General features: G+C 43.1%; 1 long non-coding RNA gene and 1 pseudogene across 4 annotated transcripts; one reads left to right on the forward strand and one right to left on the reverse strand.

The window, feature by feature from the left end:
* Positions 1 to 367: 367 nt before the first annotated feature.
* Positions 368 to 11,901, reverse strand: LOC105379499 (uncharacterized). 4 transcript variants are annotated; one of them, NR_188604.1, is made up of 5 exons: positions 11,719 to 11,901; positions 9,349 to 9,440; positions 7,626 to 7,723; positions 6,237 to 6,449; positions 368 to 775 (listed from the first exon to the last, which is right to left on the reverse strand). It is a non-coding gene; the product is annotated as an uncharacterized LOC105379499 (long non-coding RNA). The 4 variants fall into 4 exon arrangements; NR_188603.1 differs by having other exon boundaries at positions 9,349 to 9,451; NR_188605.1 differs by lacking the exon at positions 6,237 to 6,449.
* Positions 6,181 to 7,594, forward strand: LOC102724822 (carboxy-terminal domain RNA polymerase II polypeptide A small phosphatase 2-like; annotated as a pseudogene).
* Positions 11,902 to 22,143: the final 10,242 nt, after the last annotated feature.

Below are 22,143 nucleotides of genomic sequence, written 5' to 3' on the forward strand. Positions count from 1 at the left end.
AGAGACCAGTTTCGGTGGCACATTCTTGCAATCCATACATTTTGGGAGACTGAGGTAGGAGAATCACTTGACGTCAGAAGTTCAAGATGAGCCTGGACAACATAGTGTGACCCTGTCTCTATGAAAAATTAAAACATTAGCCAGGCATGGTGGCAGCTTCCTGTAGTCTCAGCTAATTGGGAAACTAAGGTTAGAAGACTGTTTGAAGTTACAGTGAGCTAAGATTGCACCACTGCACACCAGTCTGGGTGTTAGAGCAAGATCCTGTCTCTAAAAAAATTTAATACTTAAAGATAAAATAAAATAGCTAGAGAAGAAGCTTTTGAATATTCTCACCACAAAAATAACAAATGCATGAGGCAACAAGTATAGAAGTACTCTGATTTTTATTGTTATACAACATATATATATAATTGTTTCCCCAAAATATGCACAATTACATGTGTCAATTTTAAAAAATGAATGAAGACTATAATGTAAAACCTATAGCTGTAAAATTCCTAGCACAATACAGAAGGGTGAAGCTTCATGACAACTGGTCGTGGCAATAATTTGGGGGACGTAACATCAACGGATGAGACAACAAAAGCAAGGGAATACACATGGTACTGAATCAGTGTATGAAAAATATCCCAAACAGACAAAGCAGAACATGGAATAGATATATGCACATTGTAGTATTAGTCACAAACATGTTACCTGGAAGCAAATGTACCCTTAAGGATGAGTAGATTCAGCAAACAGGGCACGTACAATCACTGGGATAGCATTCAGCCTTAAAAATAAGGAAATCTTGAAAAGTACTACAATAAGGACAAATATTCAAAACATTCTGTTAAGTAAAATAAGACAGTCAAAAAGGAAAGCTGTATAATTACACTCATGTAAAATATTTAGTCAAACTCAAAGAAACCAAGTGTCATAGTCTCAGCAGTGCACCAAGATGTAACAGTCTCTCGTAGTCTGAGATAACATCCAGAGTTCTTTGTTCTACCTCTAAGGAGATTAAGGAGTGTAAACACAAAGGTGAGGTTGGAGTGAAAGTTTAAGAAGCAAGAGAAGAAAGCTCTTTGCCAGCAGAGATAGGTGTCTGAAAGTGGTGCCCTCTACGAGGCTGGGTCCAGGGTTTTTATGGACTGGGAAGGGAAGGATATGTGCCTAGTTCACAGGCTGTCTTGAAAAACGTGTGGCTCAGCTTGGCCCAGGCCTTTGGCCCAGGACCAATCAGGAGCTGAAGGGATGATTGATAGATGCTGCTTAGCTTGGCCCAAGACTTACCAGAAGCTAAGGTGAAAGTTTGGCCAAGGAGCTTGGCACGGGAGCAATCAGGGGCTGAAGTAATTATTCATAGAGGTCAGACTTACAGTCCAAATAAAGGAGAATGTCTACCGGAATGTACCAGATTCCACAGTGTCCATGCCAACAAAAAGAGAAGGAACATTTTCCTGGGAGCCCACTGACTGTACAAAGACAAAGGTGTTTCTTTTTTTTTTCTTTTTCTTGTCTTTCTTTCTTTTTTTTGAGATGTACTTTCTTTTTTTATTTTATTTTATTTTTTTTGCAGTTTTGCTCTTGTTGCCCAGCCTGGAGTGCAATGGTGCGATCTCGGCTCACAGCAACCTCCACCTCCTGGGTTCTAGCGATTCTCCTGCCTCAGCCTCCCAAGTAGCTGGGATTATAGGCATGCAGCACCATGCCTGGCTAGTTTTGTATTTTTAGTAAAGACAGGGTTTGTCCATCTTGGTCATGCTGGTCTCAAACTCCCGACCTCAGATGATCCGCCCACAGCTGCCTCCGACATTGTTGGAATTACAGGCATGATCCACCGTGGCTGGCCAAACAAAGGCATTTCTGTGCTAGGTCGTTCTTGTTCCTTTATCTGAGTGAGCTGGAGGTTTGTACAAGTTTTTATCCAAATGGGCCAGAGGTTTTTCTATCTCTGCAGCCACGGGCATGTCTCCAAGCACAACAACATATGTTAGTTCCCTTGTTAGTGTCTGCAGCTTGATTTTTTCCAGGCTTCTTTACATGTTATGCAGGGATGAGGCACTGACCAGGGACTTTCCAGGGACTCTTCTCTTGCTATCTACCTAAGGTAAGCTAACTAACTTCTTTCACAAGTAATGAGTATTCACTTTTACTTTTGTAAGACAAAAATTATCTAAAAGCTACTGCAAAACAATAGAACTATACTAACCACTTCTAAACCATATACTTAAAATTTCAGAAATGACAATGGCATGTTTTTAACTACAATTAGAAATTTAAGACTAACTAAAAGGCACAGTTAGAAAACCTTTCAAACATCACCTTCAAATAACAAAGGGTTATTCTCACACAATTATATGGATTTAAACTATATGTTGATTGTAAATTTAAGATTATTTCCCTGATGACTCACCAAGATAGAATAAAATAATCACTGGAAACCAAGAAAAGAGGGAAATTTATAGCACTAATGTCCACATCAAAAAGCTAGAAAGGGCTGGGCGTGGTGGCTCATGCCTGTAATTCCAGCACTTTGGGAGGCTGGGGTAGGCAAATCACTTAAGGCCAGATGTTCAAGACCAGCCTGGAACACACAGCAAAACCCCACCTCTACAAAAAAAAATTCAAAAATTAGCTGGTTTTTGTGATGCACATCTGTAATCCCAGCTACTCAGGAAGCTGAGACAGCAGAAATCACTTAAAACTGAGAAGTGGAGGTTGCAGTGAGCAGAGATCATGCCACTGTACTCCAGCCTGGGTGACAGAGTGAGACTCTGCCACAAGAAAAAAAAGAGAAACTAGAAAGATCTAAAGTTAACAGCCTAACATCTTGATTAAAAGAACTAGAAAACCAAGTGAAAACTAACCAGAAAGGTAGCAGAAAACAAGAAATAACCAAGATCAAAGTAGAGCTGAAGGAGATAGAGACACTGAAAACTCTTCCAAAAAAAAAAAGTCAACAAATCCAGGAGCTGTTTTATGAAAAAAATTAATAAACTAGATGGAACACTAGCTAGGCAAATAAATAAGAAAAGAAAGGAGAACCAAACACAATTAGAAATAATAAGGGAGATATCATCACTGGTCCCATGGAAATAAGAACAACCATCAGAGAACACTATAAACATCTGTATGCACATAAACCAGAAAATCTAGAATAGACAATTTCCTTGCAAAATAAACCCTCCACAAGACTGAACCCTGAATAGATCAATAATGTGTTCTGAAACTGAGGCAGTAATAACTAGCCTACCAAGCAAGCTGAATTTGACCAGAGGTACAAAGAGGAGATGGTACCTTTTCTCCTAAAACCATCCAAAAAAAATTGAAGACAAAGTTCTCTGTAACTCATTCTATCAGGCCAGCATCATCCAGATACCAAAACCTAACATAGATACTACAACAACAACAACAACAACAACAACACATCATGCCAATGTCTTTGGTAAACACTGTGCAAAAATCCTCAATAAAATACTGGCAAACCAAATCCAGCAGCATATTAAAAAGTTCATCTGCAACAATGGAGTTGGCTTTGTCCCCAGGATGCAAGGTTGATTCAACAAATGCAAATCAATAAATGTGACTCATCACATAAAGAGAACTAAATAAAAAGCCACATGATTATCTCAATAAATGCAGAAAAAGCATCCAATAAAATTCAGCATTCCTTCAGGTTTAAAATTCTCAATAAACTAGGAAGTGAAGAAACATACCTGAAAATAATAAGAGCCATATACAACAAACCCACAACCAATATCATACTGAATGTGCAAAAGCTAGAAACGTTCCACCTGAAAACTGGCACAAGAAAAGAATGCCCTCTTTCACCACTACCATTCAATATAGTATCAGAAGCCTTGGCCAGGAAAATCAGGCCAGAGGAAGAAATAAAGAGTATTCTAATAGAAAGAGAGGAAGTCAAATTATCTTTGTTTGCAGATGACCTGATCCTACATCTAGAAAACCTCATTGTCTCAGGCCCAAAGCTTCTTAAGGTGATAAGCAACAGTAGCAAAATCTCAGGATATAAAATCAATGTGCAAAAGTAGCTAGCATTCCCATGCACAAACAACAGGCAAGCAGGGAGACAAATCATGAATGAACTTTCATTCACATTTGCTACAAAGAGAAAAAAATACCTAGGAATACAGCTAAGAAAGAAAGTGAAGGACCTCTTCAAGGAGAACCACAAACAACTGCTCAGAGAAATCAGAGTGGACACAAAACAGATGGAGAAATATTCCATGCTCATGGAGAGGAAGAATCAGTATCATGAATATGGGCATATGGCCCTAAGTAATTCATAGATTCAATGCTATTCCCATTGAACTACTGACATTCTTCAGAGAATTAGAAAAATAAAAACTTTTAAAGTTCATATGGAACCAAAAAAGAGCCCAAATAGCCAAGCCAACCTTAAGAAAAAAAAAAAAAAAGCTGGAAGTGTCACTCTACCTAACTTCAAACTATACTAGAAGAGTACAGTAACAAAAACAGCATGGTACTGGTATAGAAACAGACACATAGACAAATGAAACAAAGTAGAGAACCTAGAAATAAAGCCAAAAACCTACAACAACCTGATCTTTGACAAAGTTAACAAAAACAAGGAATTAGGGAAAGGTGTCCCTATTCAAAAAATGGTGCTAGGAGAACTGGCTAGCCATATGCAGAGAATTTAAACTGGAACCCTTCTTAACACCATGTACAAAAATTAACTCAAGATGGATTAAAGACTTAAATGTACAACCCAAAACTATAAAACCCTTAGAAGAAAAAATCTAGATAATACCATTCAGGATATAGGCATGAGAAAAGACTTTATGACAGAAAGGCAAAAAGCTATAGCAACAAAAGCAAAAATTGACTAATGGGGTCTAATTAAACTAAAGAGCTTCTGCGGAGCCAAAGAAACTATCATCAGAGCAGACAACCTAGAGAATGGGAGAAAAATTATGCAACCTATCCATCTCACAAATGTCTAATATCCAGAATCTAGGAGGAATTTAACAAAATTTACAAGAGAAAAAAAAAAGGCCCCATTAAAAAAGGGTCAAAGAACATGAACAGACATATCTCAAAAGAGGACATACATGTGCCCAACAAACATGAAAAGCTCAACATCACTGATAACTGCATAAATACAAATCAAAACCATAATGAGATACCATCTCACACAAATTATAATGGCTATTAATAAAAAGTAAAAAAAAAAAAAACAGATGCTGGCGAGGTTGTGGAGAAAAGGGAACACTTTTACACTGTTGGTGGGAGTGTAAATTATTTCAAGCATTGAGGAAGAGAGTGTGGAGATTCCTCAAAGACCTAGAAGCAGAACTACCATTTGACCCAGCAATACCATTACACCCAAAGGAATATAAATAATTCTATTTTAAAAATACATGTATACAAATGTTCATTGCAGCACTATTTACAATAGCAACATCATGTAATCAATCTACATGCCCATCAATGATACACTGGATAAAGGAAATGTGGTACACATACACCATGGAACACTATGAAGCCATAAAATGTAATGAGATGATGTCCCTTGCAGGGACATGGTTGGAATTTGAAGCCATTACTCCCAGCAAACTAATGCAGGAACAGAAAACCAAACACCGCCTATTATTATTCTAACTTATTAGCAGAAGCAGATCAATGAGAACACATGGACACATCAGGAAGAACAACACACACTGGACACCTGTTTCATGGCATGGGGGAGGGGAAGGAGAGCATCAGGAAGAATAGCTGCGGATGCTGGGCTTGGTACCTGGGTGATGAGATGATCTGTGCAGTAAACCACAGTGGTACGCATTTATGTATGTAAGAGACCTGCATACTCTGCACATGGACCCCTAAACTTAAAATAAAAGTTGAAAAATAAACTTTATCACATATGGACCCCTGAACTTAAAATAAAACTTGAAAAAAAAATGTGTTTCTGGTGGATTCTCTATGTTAGACCCAAACTGAGGATCTTGAAGCTCTCGCTGGGGGAATCGGGGATGGGGGCACACTGGGGAGCCGCTGCCAAGGCCAACCACCCTCCCTACAAGCCACCTCCCTTCCCGGCCAGTATGGAAAGGAGAAGGGGTATGTGAACAGCTGTGGAGGTCAGAATCTCGGGAACTGAATCAGGCCCCAGCCCATGCCCCCCAGCCCAGCCCTCAGGATTGTTAGATGGAACAAGGCTCCATCATCACCCAGGCATGGAGGGAAGATGCCCTGGTCCTTACCAAGCAAGGCCTGGTTTCCAAAGTCCTCTCCGAAGAGGCCTCATGTTTGCCACATCTTAAAAGTCCCCTTTCTGCTGTTCTTGCACCCAGCATGTTGGACAGTCAAGTTCCCCCGCTGAGCAATCCACACATAAGGAGGGAGTCAACACCATTGCTATGTCGGATCAGCTCCAGCGTCTCCAATATCAGTTTTATCAGATCCCAGGAACCTGCCTGCTCCCAGAGGTGACAGAGAAAAATCAAGGAAGGATCTGTATGGTCACTGACCTGGATGAAACCCTTGTGCATAGCTCCTTTAAGCCAATCAGCAATGCTGACTGCCTAGTGCCTGTAGAGCTTGAGGGGACCATGCACCAGATCCATGTGCTCATGAGGCCTTATATGGATGAGTTCCTGACATGAATGGAGGAAATGTTTAAATGTGTTTTCGTCATTGCTCTCTTCTTCCCAGCCTGAACAAGTAGGCAGATCCTGTGACGGGTGAGCTGGACGGGTATGGGATGGTCTGGGGCTGCCTGTCCCATGAGTCATGTTTGTTTCACCAGGGCTGCTATGTCAAGGACGTCAGCCATCTGGGGAGGGACCTGAGGAAAACTCATCCTGGACAACTCGCCTGCTTCTTACATCTTCCACACAGAGAATGCAGTGCCTGTGCAGTCCTGGTTTGATAACATTCCAGACAGCAGCTGCTGCACCTGATATCATTATTTGAGGAGATGAGTGGAGGAGCAGAGGGTGTCTACACTAGCCTTGGGCAGCAGTGGGCCCTTAACCTTCCCTGCTTCCCAGCAATGGCCATCACAGTAGGGGATTTTCCCACACTGTGCCTTTATGAACAGCCTGAAAGAGTGAAGGCTGGAACACCTACCCACATGGGCCTGGAAACAGTGAGAAGTGATTGAAAAGAGCTTTAGGACAGCTTAGATGCCCAGTGGGTGAATGCCAGACCAAGGATACCCAGAGCTACCTGCCATCAAGTTGTTGGGTTCCCGAGATGGGGGTGTGAGAGAAAGAAAGACAGCATGTGTGTTTTGCTATGAACTGTGGCCCCAAGTATATAGTGTTTCAGTAGAGGAGAAGCTGAAGGACAAAGACTCTTCCCAAGCTAGCTTGTCTCCTCTCCTGTCACCCTATGAGCCCCTGAGATCCATAGGGATGAAGAGTATTGAAGGCTCCGTTGCAAACCTGGTCTTTCTTCAGTGCTGCAAGGCCTATGCCAAGGAGAAAGGAAAGGTATGCCTTTGGGTGTTCCAGGCACACATCTTTCTGAAATATTTCTCCAGCCAGTTGTTGCAGACAAAAGACGACATTTCTGGGAAGATGGGGACTTATGTCCAGACGAGTACCCAAACTATCAGGTCTTCTGGCCCAAAGGCTATTTTTACTTACCTCTAGCCAAGTGCCTGGGATGGATCCTTTCTGCGTCTCACCAAGGCTCACCACTTAGCCATAGCCTCAAACCCGTGGGGAAGGAAGGTCTCCCCGCCCTGCAAGAGGACAAATAACTGATTTTTGTTCATTTGACTCTGTTTTAAAATTCTCTTTAAAAAAAAAAAAAACAAAAAAAAGAAAAAGAAAGCATATCTGAAACTTAAAAAAAAAAACAAGGAAAAAAGATGAAAAAAATGACATACTTACATAGGTGAAAAACACATAGATATATCTATAAGCAACAAACACAGCTAATTCAAATATAAATTAAATATCACATTGTCATAATGTGTACCGAGTTAAAAAATTATCATTCAACTCATGATATCAAGCTTTAAAAGCAAAAATACAATTAACTGCTCTGAGAAAACATACCCCCCCAGAAAAGAAACACAACAACACAGAACTGAAAATAAGAAGAGAGATTTTAATGCATAAAATCCTGAATACAACATAAATATACAATGAAAAATAAGCCCTTTTTGTTTTTTTTTGAGACAGTCTCACCCTGTCGCCCAGGCTGGAGTGCAGTGGTGCCATCTCGGCTCACTGCAAGCTCCGCCTACTGGGTTCACGCCATTCTCCTGCCTCAGCCTCTCGAGTAGCTGGGAATACAGGCACCCGCCACTATGCCCGGCTAATTTTTTCTATATTTAGTAGAGACTGGGTTTCACCGTGTTAGCCAGGATGGTCTTGATCTCCTGACCTCGTGATCCACCCACCTTGGCCTCCCAAAGTGCTGGGATTACAGGCATGAGCCACCGTGCCGGGCTGAAAAATAACCCTTTAGATATCTACAGCTTTAAACTGTGTGCAGTCATGAAAAGCAGACATTAGAAGTCATTGGCATTTAATAAATTGCAGTAAAATTATACAGTAAATACATTACAATCATTAATAATAGGCTTTAATGAGAAGAATTTAATAAATAATCATTAAAAAGACAGCAGAATTTTATTCTGTTCTCAATATGTTGCTGCTCTTCTTATCAAATACTATAATAAAACTATATGACTATAATATAGATTTCAGGAGCTAAAAAAAGCCTTATATTTTCAAATAAAAGAACAATATAAATTTTGCAAAATACAATGAGCATTACTGAAGTATAAAGTAAATATTTGGAATTAAAATATATGGTCATTTAGATACAGACTAAAAAAGAATAGAAATCTTAATGATTCCTTTCTGCCTACAGTGAGCTTAAAATTACAACCAAAAATTTTAATAAATATGTAGCACCTACAAGAAATTTTATTAACAGCTTACATAATGTGTAAATTTGAGCAATTTATTTTAGAACTTTTGAATCTGAAAATCACCTGCTTGACATTCATTTGAGAAAGTGAAACATAAAGGAGAGTAACATAAGCAAGACGACAGAATGGGAGGTTCTGCATCCACATCCCCCACGACATAATGCAGCTGCCACAGCAAACATAAGTGCATTCATGAAAGCCTTGGAATCCAGTTCAGAGTTTGTGACACCCAGCTGGAGGCAAAGACCAAGGAAGACATCTTTAGAGGGTAAGCACTTGACCAAGTGGCAAGCTTGCCAATCATGGTCCTCGCTTCAAAACAGAATACTGCCACATCTTACTGTAGACTTGGCTATAACTCATTTGACCTTGGTCCTGACACTGCAACAGTCTGTGGAAAACACAAGAGAATTCATACTCACCTGAGACTTAGATGACAGGCCTGCAGAACTTGGTTCTCTCTATAGTCCCTGAATCAGGCAAAACACACCTTCTTTCCTTCTCCAGCCATGGTCTGGAAGAAATCTTCACATTGATATGATGAAATGCTAACTAACAATATGAAAAATACTAAAGTATAAATGTCACTAAAATGGTAAATACATACTGAATTTCAGAATACTATAAATTGTTATCATCTTAAACTAGACTATTAAAATACAAGATGTTTTACATAAGTCTCATGATAACCAGTAGGAAAAAAAAATAGTAAAGAAAAAGAGAAAGTAATTAAAGCATACACAAACAACAAAAATTACACATTGGATATGGTGTCTCCTGCTTATAATTCCAACACTTTGGGAGGCCAAGGTGGAAGAATCAAATCTCCTTGGGTGTTGTGGTACATGTCTGCAGTCCAAGCTACTTGGGTGGCTAAGGTGGGACGATTATTTGAGCCCAGGAGGTTAAGGCTACAGTGAGCTGTGATATGCCACTGCACTTCAGTCTGAGCAAGAAAGCATAACTTTGTCTCAACAAAAATGAACAATACCACAGGAAAGACAGAACCAGAAAAAAAAGAAGCAAACTTAAAATGGACAGAAAACTACAAATGTACAATAGTAACTGCTTACCTATCACTACCTTACAAATAAAAAGATTAAAGTATCTACTAAACAGATACTGCTGTACACTGAATGTCATCTCCAAAATTTAGGATAAAATTTAATAGCCAACATGTTAGAATTAACAGGTGGAACCTTTAAAAATTAATTAAGCTATAAGCACTCTGCCCTCATGAATGGATTAACGTTCTTATTATGGGAATGGGCTAATTATAACAAGAATGGATCTGTTATATATTAAAAAAAAAAAGCTCTCTCTCCCTCACATCTTTGTGTATGTTATTATCCAGCAACTAGACCTTCAACATATACCAGTATAATGTTGTTTTGGCTTCCCAGCCTCCAGAATCATGAGTCAAATAAAATTCTATTCTTTATTAATTACCAGTGTGTGATATTCTGTTATAGCAGCCAAAAGAGACTAAAGCAGACAGAGTGGATAAATTAATCTTTTAAACCTCATAATATGCTGCTTACAAGAGACTCAATTATGAATTAAGAGCATAGGCTAAAAGTGAAAGGATAGAAAATGATATTCCATGCAAATAATAACCAAAGGAGTGAAATGGTAATGCTTAAATTAGACAAAATAGACTTTCTAGCAATGTCTCTCACAAGAATGAAATGAGTTTACCATACAATAATAGAGGTTAATTTCTCAAGAGAATATAGCTTTATATATTTATGCACCCAAAAGGGAGGCTTCTAAATATAAAAAGCAAATATTGCCAGAACTGTAGGGAGAAGTAGAAAGAAACCCAATAATAGAAAACTTTAACGAAATGTATAATAAAGGACATATAGTTAACAGCATTGTAAATTGGCAAGGGAAAGCTGGTCTCATGTGTTGCGTTTGAGAATGCAGCAAAGAAAGTGGGAACTGATAATTTTACTGCAAGCCTGAGTTAGGATGAAAAACAGGGTGGTCGATTAGAGGTTCCACTTGCCATACATTAAAAAAACACAGGAGAAAACCAGTCCTCCTCTGGAGTGTTAAAATAATTAAAGATCAGAAAATTAGTCTAAAGTGGCTCTAGTGCCCTGTGTTCATAGGTAAAAAACAAAAAACAAACAAAAAAAAATCTAAAACCTAACTCAAATATATTTCCTATAAAACACTATCTTAGCCTGAAGCAAAATGCAGGTTTAACCCATGACAAACATGCAATTAACCTCTGAATATGTAACCAGGACATTTCCATCTGGATAGTTCAAATAAGGCTACCATATAACTGGAACCAATTCTTGAATTTGGGTTGCTTTCTCATGCATCTTATGAAAGCCTTTCCTTTATGCCCCTCTGGTGGACCAGAAATCATGGCTGGGTGCTTTCCATTTCACCAATCACTCTTTGTTCAGATAAACTGATGAACCTTTTAACATAGACTCCCGTTAATTTTTAACACGAGAGACTGTGGACCCCACGGGCCGCAGCTCCTCCCACGCAAACACCCACTCGCGGTTTTTCCCTGATGACCCATCTGGCCTCCCTGAACAATTTGGGAAATACTCATGGCTGTGGGCGCAGAGCAGGGCGCTGCCCAGGGACAGGACCGGATGGGCCGGACGGGACGTGGGGGTCCTCGCTGCTGGCCCAGCGGCCATCTTGCAGCCACAGGGGACTGAGGGCCAAGCTGCGGGAGACTCGGAGCTAACCGTGGGGAGGCCGGTCCTGCCGGTTTCACAGTCTGTTCTCCCCTCTCGGGATGGCGAACCCCGTATACTCACCATTTCCCAGCTTCCAGGATGTCCTGGCACCTTAACTATGCGTCCCCAAGGACCTACAGATCGCAGGGCAACAGGGGCTGTGACAGAGTAGCCCAGGGCTCTCAAGGTGCAGGAGGCGAAAGAGGAGACAGATCCCAAGCTCCTGTGCCAGCACCAGCGAGAGACACAGATCCCGCCAAATGCAGGAAGCCACGCCCTCCTTTCCTCTCCTCTGCCACCGCGCGCCTGATTGGGCGGTTCCCACATCAGTGTCAATGACTGGATAAAACTCCAGGACGCACCCACCCTCGCCTGACTCCTGCCCTTACCCCCACTCCCCCTCAGACTTAGTGCACTTTTGTTAGTTTGTTTTTAAGTTCTGGAATACATGTGCAGAACGTGCAGGTTTGTTACATAGTTTTACATGTGCCATGGTGGTTTGCTGCACCTATCAACCTGCCATCTAGGTTTTAAGCCCCATATGCATTAGGTATTTGTCCTAATTTTCTCCCTCCCCTTGACCTCAACCCCTTAACAGGCCTTAGTGTGTGATCTTTGGCTCCAGGTGTCCATGTGTTCTCATTTTTCAACTCCCACATATGAGTGAGAACATATGGTGTTTGCTTTCCTGTTCCCGTGTTAGTTTGCTGAGGTTAATGGTTCCCAGCTTCATCCACGTCCCTGCAAAGGACATGAACTCATTCTTTTTATGGCTGCATATTATTTCATGGTGTATATGTGCCACATTTTCTTTTTCCAATCTATCAATGATGGGCATTAGGGTTGGTTCCAAGTCTTTGCTATTGCAAACAGTGGTGCAATAGACATATGAGTGCATGTGTCTTTATGCTAGAATGATTTATATTCCTTTGGGTATATACCCAGTAATGAGATTGCTGGATCAAATGGTATTTCTGGTTCTAGATCCTTGAGGAATCACCACACTGTCTTCCATAATGGTTGAACTAATTTACACTCCCTCCAGCAGTGTAAAAGTGTTTCTATTCCTCCACAGCCTCACCAGCATCTGTTGTTTCCTAACTTTTTAATAACTGCCATTCAACATGGTGTGAGAAGGTATCCCATTGTGGTTTTGATTTGCATTTCTCTAGTCTCCAGTGATGATGAGCTTTTCTCTTTTTTGTGTTTGTTGACCACATAAAGGTCCCCTTCTTCTTCTTCTTCTTCTTCTTCTTCTTCTTCTTCTTCTTCTTCTTCTTCTTCTTCTTCTTCTTTTCTTCTTCTTCTTCTTCTTCTTCTTCTTCTTCTCCTTCTCCTTCTTCTTTTTCTATTTATTTTACTTATTATTATTATTTTTAAGATGGAGTCTTGCTCTGTCACCCAGGCTGGAGTGCAGTGGAAGGATCTCGGCTCACTGCAACATCTGCCACCCAGGTTCAAGTGATTCTCCTGCCTTAGCCTCCCCAGAAGCTGGGATTACAGGTCACCCGCCAACACATCCTACTAATTTTTTGTGTTTTTAGTAGAAATGCGGTGTCGCCATGCGGCCCAGGCTGGTCTTGAACACCTGACCTCATGATCCACCTGCCTCCACGGCTGAAAGTGCTGGGATTACAGACTTGATCAACCGCGCCCAGCCAAATATCTTCTTTTGAAAAGAGTCTGTTTATATTCTGTGCCCACTTTTTGATGGTTTTTTTTTGTGTGTGTGTGAATTTGTTTAAGTTCTTTGTAGATTCTGGATATTAGACCTCTGACACATGGATAGAGTGCAAAAATTTTCTTTCACTCTGTAGGTTGCCTGGTCACTCTGGTGATAGCTTCTTTTGCTGTGCAGAAGCTCGTTAGTTTAGTTAGATCTCATTTGTCAATTTTAGCTTTTGTTGTGATTGCTTTTGGTATTTTATTCATGAAGTCTTTGCTCATGCCTATGTCCTGAATGGTATTGCCTAGGTTTTCTTCTAGGGTTTTTATGGTTTGGTGTTTTACATTTAAGACTTTAATCCATCTTAAGATAATGTTTGCATAAGGTGTAAGGAAGGGGTACAATTTCTGTTTTCTGAATGTGGCTAGCCAGTTCTTTCAGCACCATTTGGTAAGTAGGAAATCTTTCCCCATTGCTTGTTTTTGTCAGGTTTGTCGGAGATCAGATGGTTGTAGATGTGTGATGTTATTTCTGAGGCCTCTGTTCTGTTCCATTTGTCTATATATCTGTTTTGGTATCAGTACTGTGCTGTTTTGGTTACTGTAGCCTTGTAGTATAGTTTGAAGTCGGGTAGCAGGATGCCTCAAGCTTTGTTGTTTTTGCTTAGGATTGTTTTGGGTTGACAGGCAAACAGGCTCCTATATTTGGGGTCACGTGCCCAGAGTATCACAGCTAATTCAGACGTGAGCTGAGACTTGAAATGCACGTGCTCTTTCCCTTACCTGGGTCTGTTGTATAATGCATCTTAGCAGCTATGTAACAGTACGAATTAGAATATTTAGACATCTTTTTAGCAACTTTTTAACCTGCATTTTTGTAACGCGGTAAAGACCTTCATCCCATCCCTGAGCCCCTCTCTCACAACACTGCACCCCACTGCTGACCACACTGTTGTGTGACCATTAGGAATCAGGGGGGCAGCGGGGGCTGGAAATAAATAAGAAAGGATTATGTTTCCCAAATTTGCTCACCTTAGAAAGTCTCCTCAACCATTCTGTGTGAGGTGATTTTTCCAAGGTAATTGTGCCCTGACTGCGCTGGATGTCAGTGTGTCTTGTCTTTTTGAAAATCACTGGATTACTCTCATGAACGGGGTATTTCTCTTTCTATTTGAAAATGGTCAACTGTCCTCTGCAGGTGTCCTGACTTGCTAGTTTAGACCCTGAAGGTAGCGGTGAGAAAATATTTGGGCCACATCAGAATACCTATTCTCAGCTGGAGGATATATAGAAATTTCTTAATAATATCTAACCATTTTCTCAATAACCATTATATTTAACATTGATAGCTTGGAGGGCAGGGAAGGACACAGATGACACAATCTTCAAAGTTTAATTTAGTTATAAGGTTTTTTTTTTGTTCTTGCTTAGTTTTGCTTAGTTTTTGGATACAAGGTCTTGCTCTGGTGCCCAGGCTGGAGGGCAGTGGCATAATGATAACTCATAATTTGGTTGTAACGGTTCTTTAAAATATATTTTTGCTGAGAGTGCTAGCTCATACCTGTAATCTAAACACTTTGGGTGGCCAAGGTGGGATGATCGCTTGATCCCAGGAGTTCAAGACGAGTCTGAGCAACATAAGTAGGCTCAGTCTCTAGAAAAATATTTAAAAATTGTCTGGGTGTAGCTTTGCATGCCTGTAGTCCCAGCTACTTGAGAGGCTGATTTGAAAGCATCACTGGAGCCTAAGAATTTGAAGATGCAGTGACCCATGATTCAGCCACTGCATTGACAGAGTGAGATATGTGTGTGTCTGTCTGTGTGTGTGTATAAAGAATTTGTATGTGAAAAAAATTCAAGCACAGGAGAAAAGTGAAAGCCCATGGTGGGGGATGTGGAGAAAGGTCACTGTGGCTCCAGCAACTCAGTGAGACTTGGTTTTCCATCTTGAAGAATTGCCCATCCACACTGACACCATAGCCTAACATATGCCAGTTCTCACACTACACCTGCTGGGATACCAGTATGTAGCCTTTTGAAAAAAATAAAATCTTTCACCTAAGAGAAGGACAAGAGAAAACGAGGGTTTCACATCTAAAGCCTTCATTTTCTTTATGAATCAACAGCCACTTGTCATTTCAATTGTCCAGAGGCGACTGACAGCACTAATACACTTAATGAATCAACCAGGAAAAATGGGCCTCTCAGGTGAGGAGGAGGCACAATCGTCACAAAACCCAATCCGTTCTCAGCTTTGCATGGTGCTCGCATCTCAAGAAGTGGTGTTAGCCATGTGAACCGTGTTCACTGGACAAGGCCAGAGGAAAGAATATGTAGTACAACACAACTATGGGGCTGCAAATCAAACTGGTAGTGAGAGCATGCATGAGGCTTCAGTGGCCGAGACACTGGTGGCTACCCTTCGGTGTCACTTAAATCTTTGAGGTGAAGGACATCTTTTTCCCAACTGGCTCAGAGAAACTAATCAACATTAAAATTGAGATTTGTTTTTCTTTTCAAAATTTCTAAGACATAGAGGACTCTCTAACACTCCAAAAGACATTCAGCTATACATGCAGCTGAGGACCTGCCTGCTCTGTAGAGGGATGGCAGAGCAGCAGCCACCAGCTTTAGTAGCTTTAAGCTCCTCTTCTCATAGGAACAGGCCACCCCCACACAACCCCCCTAACTTCATAGGCTCTGGCTGTCAGGTGCACCTGGGGGACTGTCTTCCTCCCATCTCATTAGCTCTCGAAGACAGTTCAGCTCAATGTAAAACCTACCTTAGGATGGTGAGTTGTAGGCTCTCCTCTATTCTCCCAGCGCAGTGTGACTTCTGGAGAGTGCTTCTCCATCCTCTTACCTCAGATGATGTGAAAAGAGCCGGTTCCCGGGCAGTTAGATGTTCAGTGACATAACAGGCCCAGCATGCGCAGGGCCTGGCCCCACAACCTGGCACCTCTCCCTTACCTGGCCTTCAGGCTGGACTTTTCTCTTCTGCCACAAATGTCAGGTGATGATCACCTCTGCCACACTCTCATGAGCTTGGTAAGTATCAGGGGTGTAAACCCCAACAGATTTCCTGTGACTCTACCCTCTTACCACCCACTCAAGTGACATTATAAGCATAATTTTACATTTGATATTATTTATGCGTAATTTTTTTTATAACATTTCTGACAACAGCCCACACAACGAAATGAGTCTGGGTTACAGAACACACGGGCGAGGCTGGGGTAGCAGGCTTCAATTACTTTATTCCAATGTGAAATGAAGATTGATGATTTAAAAACAAGACAAAGTTGTTTATCAGCTGTGGGGTGGCTACACTTGCTAGCTCATGCTCACTTTCTTTGAAACAAGGTATCTGTACAGACCATACTCATAAGTAGCTCTTCACAAAACCCCAGACAGAAGTCCCAGTCAGACACAGCTCCCTCAGGCTCACAGGGCAGCAACCTCCTCCTCCATGTTAGGCTCTGACAGCAGGCAAGGGAAGAAGCACAGGCAGCAGGGGACAGGGAGATGTCCCGGACTGTAGGGATCCCCAAATGCCCCAGAGCTATTATCTGTAGAAGGGTGCACGCAGGTCTCACTCTGACAGTGCAGTGGCTGAATCATGGGTCACTGCAGCCTCAAACTCTTAGCCTCCAGTGATGCTTTCACCTCAGCCTCTCAAGTAGCTGTATGGCAAAAAGCCTCCTATTTTTTTACTTAAAACCTGGACTTCAAGCCAGGTTGGACCTGGGGATAGTGGCAGCAAAAGCAGCAGCCAAATGTATACACTCCAGATGTCTACACTCATGGGCACAGGCATATTCCACTCTTGCTGGAGCACGAGAGGCCTGAGAGGCACCTGTTTCCCAGTTGCTAACTGATGCCCACACACCCCATTCACGTGTCTTCATTTAGGTCTCTGCATCGTGTATTCCCTCAGCCAGTGCAAACACATCTTCTGGGGGGCATCATTAATTGCAGCACCTGCCCCTCTTGTTCTGGGAGGGAGTCAAGAGGAATCTGGTCAGCTCCTAATCCCCCAGGACAAAGGTGCTGCCCCCTTTTCAGCACTCACATCCAGCAATGCCATCTCTGGATGGGTTTTTCAAACACAAGTAGCATGAGGTAGCAAGCATGGTGTGACAGGCTCAGGGCCATGGGCAGCCGGTTGCTGGAGAAGCAGCACAGGGCAGGCACATCTGTGGGTGGCACCATGACAAGCCAAGGCAGCCACAGCCCCTAATCCCAACAGCTCCAGCCCAGTTGGCATTCAAATCTTCCCAGATAGTATTGGGGTACGCGATGCCCATCACTCGCCCGCTCATTAGCACGGCCTTGTTGGTTACTCAGAGACTAAGGAGAGAGAGTGGGGGATGTAGATCCAGGGTGGGCACCGCCTTGCAGCCAGAGTCCACCTGACTGCAGGCCAGCAAGCAAGCCCAAGCAGCTCAGCTCTAGTCACCTCTGGCTGTACTTTATGTGTATACTTTACACAAAGGTAGCAAACAGAGGTCAACATTAGCTGTTGTGACATGAAAGTCTATGCCTCATTAAGACCTTAAAATGCTGTTGTCTTAAGCTCTCTTTATTCCACTAAAATTTATACAAATAAACACATGCAAGCTGAAACTACTATAAAGGAAATATTAGGATTTTTTAAACCCATAAACAGACATGAAAACAGTCACTGTTTGATTGCAGAGAAAGTGAGCTTCTAAAGCAGCTGACCACAAAACAGCCTCACCAAACCCCAGGCAGGCCAGGCAGTCTGAACACTACAAGGCCACGTGATGGTCACAGAGGATGACAGCTCCCGTGAGTATTGCAAGGCACTGTGTTAGCTTCTCACTCACAGTCTCAGAATACCCTGTGAGGGGAGGCCCCGTCTCACTAGAGCACAGGAGGTTCCTGAGCTCTTCCCAGAAAATGGTCATCAAACGATGGAGCAGAGGGAAGCCCAGACAGAACAAGTGAGTCCCTAGGGTCTCCTTAACCTCCCTCAGCTCCTCCACATGGGTCCCTGAGGGAAAGTGAGCAGCCTCCTAACCCCCTTGATAGGGTTCCAGTCCTGCAGGTCGGACTCTCTCATTTTATGCTACCATAGGGGGTGACAATGCAACCCCAGGCCCCTTATTTGCCATCCCTCAATGCCAGGCCAGGCCCAGAGCCCTTTGCTAACACAGCCCAGGGGATGCTCAAGGCCCACCTCGGCACAGTCACCTGTAGTGTACTGAGATGAGCAAGGAGGTGCAAGTAGACACAAATCCCCATGGGCTTGGCCTCAGCCATGTTCCACAGGCTCAGGGCCTCGCAGATGAGCTCACAGCCCTCCTTCAGGAAGCCTGCAGATCACACCCTCAGGGAGCAGTGCTCAGATGAGCAGGCAGGCCCCACATCCCCCACCCCATGACGCTCTGTTCCACTTTGCAGGCTTCTGCATTGGCCAGTCCCCACTGCTTTCTGGTGAGATGTCCGAGTTGAAGTGAATGTTGAAGGCCACACAGCTGATGGAGCTCACTGCCTTGCACATGTTGTAAATCACCTCCTGGCTTCAAGGGTCAGCTGTGGAGACACAGCTTGATGGGAGGTAGGCCCACTCCACCATCAGTGGTGCTGGGTTGCCCTGATCTGCACCTTCCAGATACTTGCTAAGATATCTGCATGCTTCTCTAAGGGACTGGGTCACGAGACACCCCTGGCAAGGACCAGCTGGCAGAACAGGCTGGACACTCTCCCTCAGCCTCCCCAGCAGCCCCACCTGTGCTGTCATCTGTGCTGATGATCTCCGTGGTAAGATTATGGGAAACTTTTACAGCAAGTTTTCCTTTCTCACTTCCCTATCTTAATAACAGCACTGATAACTTTTAAGCCCTAGCAAGCTGAAACTGCAAGACACATGATCTTCTGCCTTAGAAGGGCCATGTTTGGGCAGTGGGTGCCCAGGTGAGAGCCCCATGGTTGTTAGTGGCAGCCGGGAGCTGGATGGGCCTGCCCCATAGCCTAGTGAAAAGTGGGACCCTCTCCTTCCAGAGCATGGAAGTCTCAGAGGCTGGAAAAAGGTGCCTAAGTGGCCTGCCAAAAAGCATAAGGCTAGAAGGCCTGGAAAGAGCCCCAACAGCCTTCAAGCTGCCTGAGAGGGCTGGGCTCATTCCAGCTTTCTTTGCTTTCATCCTGTTAGCAAGAAAACCTGCTCACAGATGGCAGGCGGGCCTGAGGCTGCCATTCCCTCATCAGGGGCTATAGGCACCTTTAATGTGGCTCTTTCTTGAAGCAGCTGCTCAGGCCGGTTCTCGAAGAGCAGTTCCCTCATTATCCACAGGTCCTTCTTCCAGCCCCGTGTCTGCAGAGGGACTAGGGAGGGAGACAAGGGCTCAGCCTGTGCCCCACAACCTGCTTTGAGACATCTCTTTTGTTACTTCCTCACAGACAGCCTGAAACTTCCAAATGAACAGACCAGAATGGAGCCTCCAGGAAAGTGTACAGAATTCTGTCTAGTACCCAGAAGGAAGGGGGTTCCCAGTGAAGGCAGGGCCAGGCTGCATGCACCTCTTCAAAAATGTTCTCCTCATAGTCCACGCTCAAGGTGTACATCCTCTGTGTGCTTGCAGTCCATGGCAGCCTCTGCCTTGGGAACAGTCCAGCTGCACACCTGCAATATGGTGGTGACCCTCTTGAATGGATGGTTCTGGGCCCCATTGCAGACAGCAGATAGGGAGATGCTCAGCCCATCAAGCCCAGAGCCCTGCCACAGGCTTCTGTGAGGCCTCCACCTGCTCTGGGTTCTTGCCCTGAGAGGCTGCCCTGAAGTCAAACAGAAGCAGGTGGGACTCTCTTCCACAGCTGCTCTCTCTCCCACTGACAGCTCCCTAGAGGGTAACTCAGACAGAGAAGATAGAATTCTCAGGCAGAAGGACAGGAGTTTCGGCTGCCGATTCATTCCATACCCCCACATGACATGACACAAGGCAGGGGCTGTGGGACAAAGGCATTGCCTTTCCTTCTGGCAAGAGGAATGCCTTAGGAAGCAGGTCTGGTGGGGCTAGGGTTGAGCGATAGGCTTCAGGCCACAAGGAGTGGATGGACACTGAGCAAGTATCCTGGTTATCTGTCCACAGATCCAGAACAAGTGGCATCCCAGGAGCCTGGGAGGGGCTGGCAGAGACTTACTGTGTCCAGCAAAAGCCCCATGTGGATGCGGTAATGCTGCCTGCTGGTCCTTGTCTGTAATTACAAACAGGTACATGAGGTCCCCATGGATCTTGCAGCTCTCAGGGAGTGGGTTCCAGCTGCTCATGTTAGGCACTTTTAGTCACTGAACGTGCTTCAGGAATGGCCAAGTTTGATTAAGCCAGGCGTCTTGCTGTGAGACCCTCCACCCAACTGAGGACCCTCTTCCTTGTCCCCCCTGACAGTTTACCTTCCAGTTCTGGTTCTGGAGACACGATGGCCCTTCTTGGGCCCCTGGGAGAATGTGCTCAGATGACACACAGTCGACAGGGCCCATTTCCAAGCCATTCTTCCATTTCCCACTGTTTGAGGGGCCGAGGCCGGTGATCAGCACAGGGCCACCCAGGGCCAGCTGTCTGCACCTAAACGTCATGTTGGTCTGGATGTCTCAGGGCCAGAACTCTCCAGGTAAGATGGCCTGGTCCTCAGCACCTGGCCTCCATGCTCCTTTTTCCTCTGTTCAATCCTGGCCCCAATGCCTCCCGCAACTCTCAGGTCACCATTGGAGAAGATGCTCAGGAAGAACAAGGAGCTGCAGTCAACCCTGCTGAAGGTGGCATATGGGTCCAGGCTCTTGAGCTGGTCTTCGACATGGTACATGTGGATGCAGGCTTTGAGCAGTGTGAGTAGCTCTTTCCGGAAGGAGGGGAAAACGGTGTTACCAGGGTCCTACACCCTAGAACGACCCATCTAGCACAGAAAACAGTTTGCAACGTGCTATTATGTGTGATTTTAATTTTGGGCTTTAGGCTTTCATTTCCAAATTCCACAATAAACACATAAGGTGGGGTTCTGATTTCAACACACACACACACACACACACACACACACACACACACACACACATTCTCTCTCTCTTCCTCTCTCTTAGAATCTTCCAGTGAATTCACACTGAAAGCCGAAGTCCTCCCAGAATCTTGTGAGAACCTAAATGATCTGAATAGTTTGTCATTGCTTTTAGGGATCTGGGAAAATCTCTGCACATTTCTGGAGACCGCTGTTATGCCATTTTTAATAAATCTGTTGTGCTTCAATTCAGAAGTGTGTGAGGGGAGTTGTGGAGGAATTGGCATTTGGGTTAGAAATTCCAGGAACAACAGAGACAGATGACACCTGTTTTCTGCTTCATAATGTCAAGTTTTATGAAGGCTAAAACCTAATTCTACAAAAAAAATTAGACTGAAAAACTTTATAGGCAAAAATTATCTTATTAAATAGGAAAATCTAATTATTTTATTTTAAAATTTTCTTTTCCTTAGTAGGACCTAATCATAGAAATTTAAACACTGTATGCCAACAGCCTCTACTGTAGGATGGTTTATTGTAAGTACTCATTTTACAGATTTCTTACAAAAACTTTTTCCGTAAGAGAAATTAGAATATTGTTCAACATATATTGAATTCACAATTATTACCTTATTTCTCACTTATTATTTTATGATTCTGTTTTCTTTAATATGAAGATTACTATGACTGTGTTTTCACTTTCTGAATTATCATGTGTCACATTTTTCTGTAATTTCAGTTTGAGAAGTTGTAAAACAGCATGCTCAAATGTATATGTTATGTATCAATTATATAATTAATTATTAAAATATTTGGCTTGTATGTTTAATT

This window comes from Homo sapiens, chromosome 21, assembly GCF_000001405.40.
Source record: "Homo sapiens chromosome 21, GRCh38.p14 Primary Assembly".
Lineage (NCBI taxonomy): Eukaryota > Metazoa > Chordata > Mammalia > Primates > Hominidae > Homo > Homo sapiens.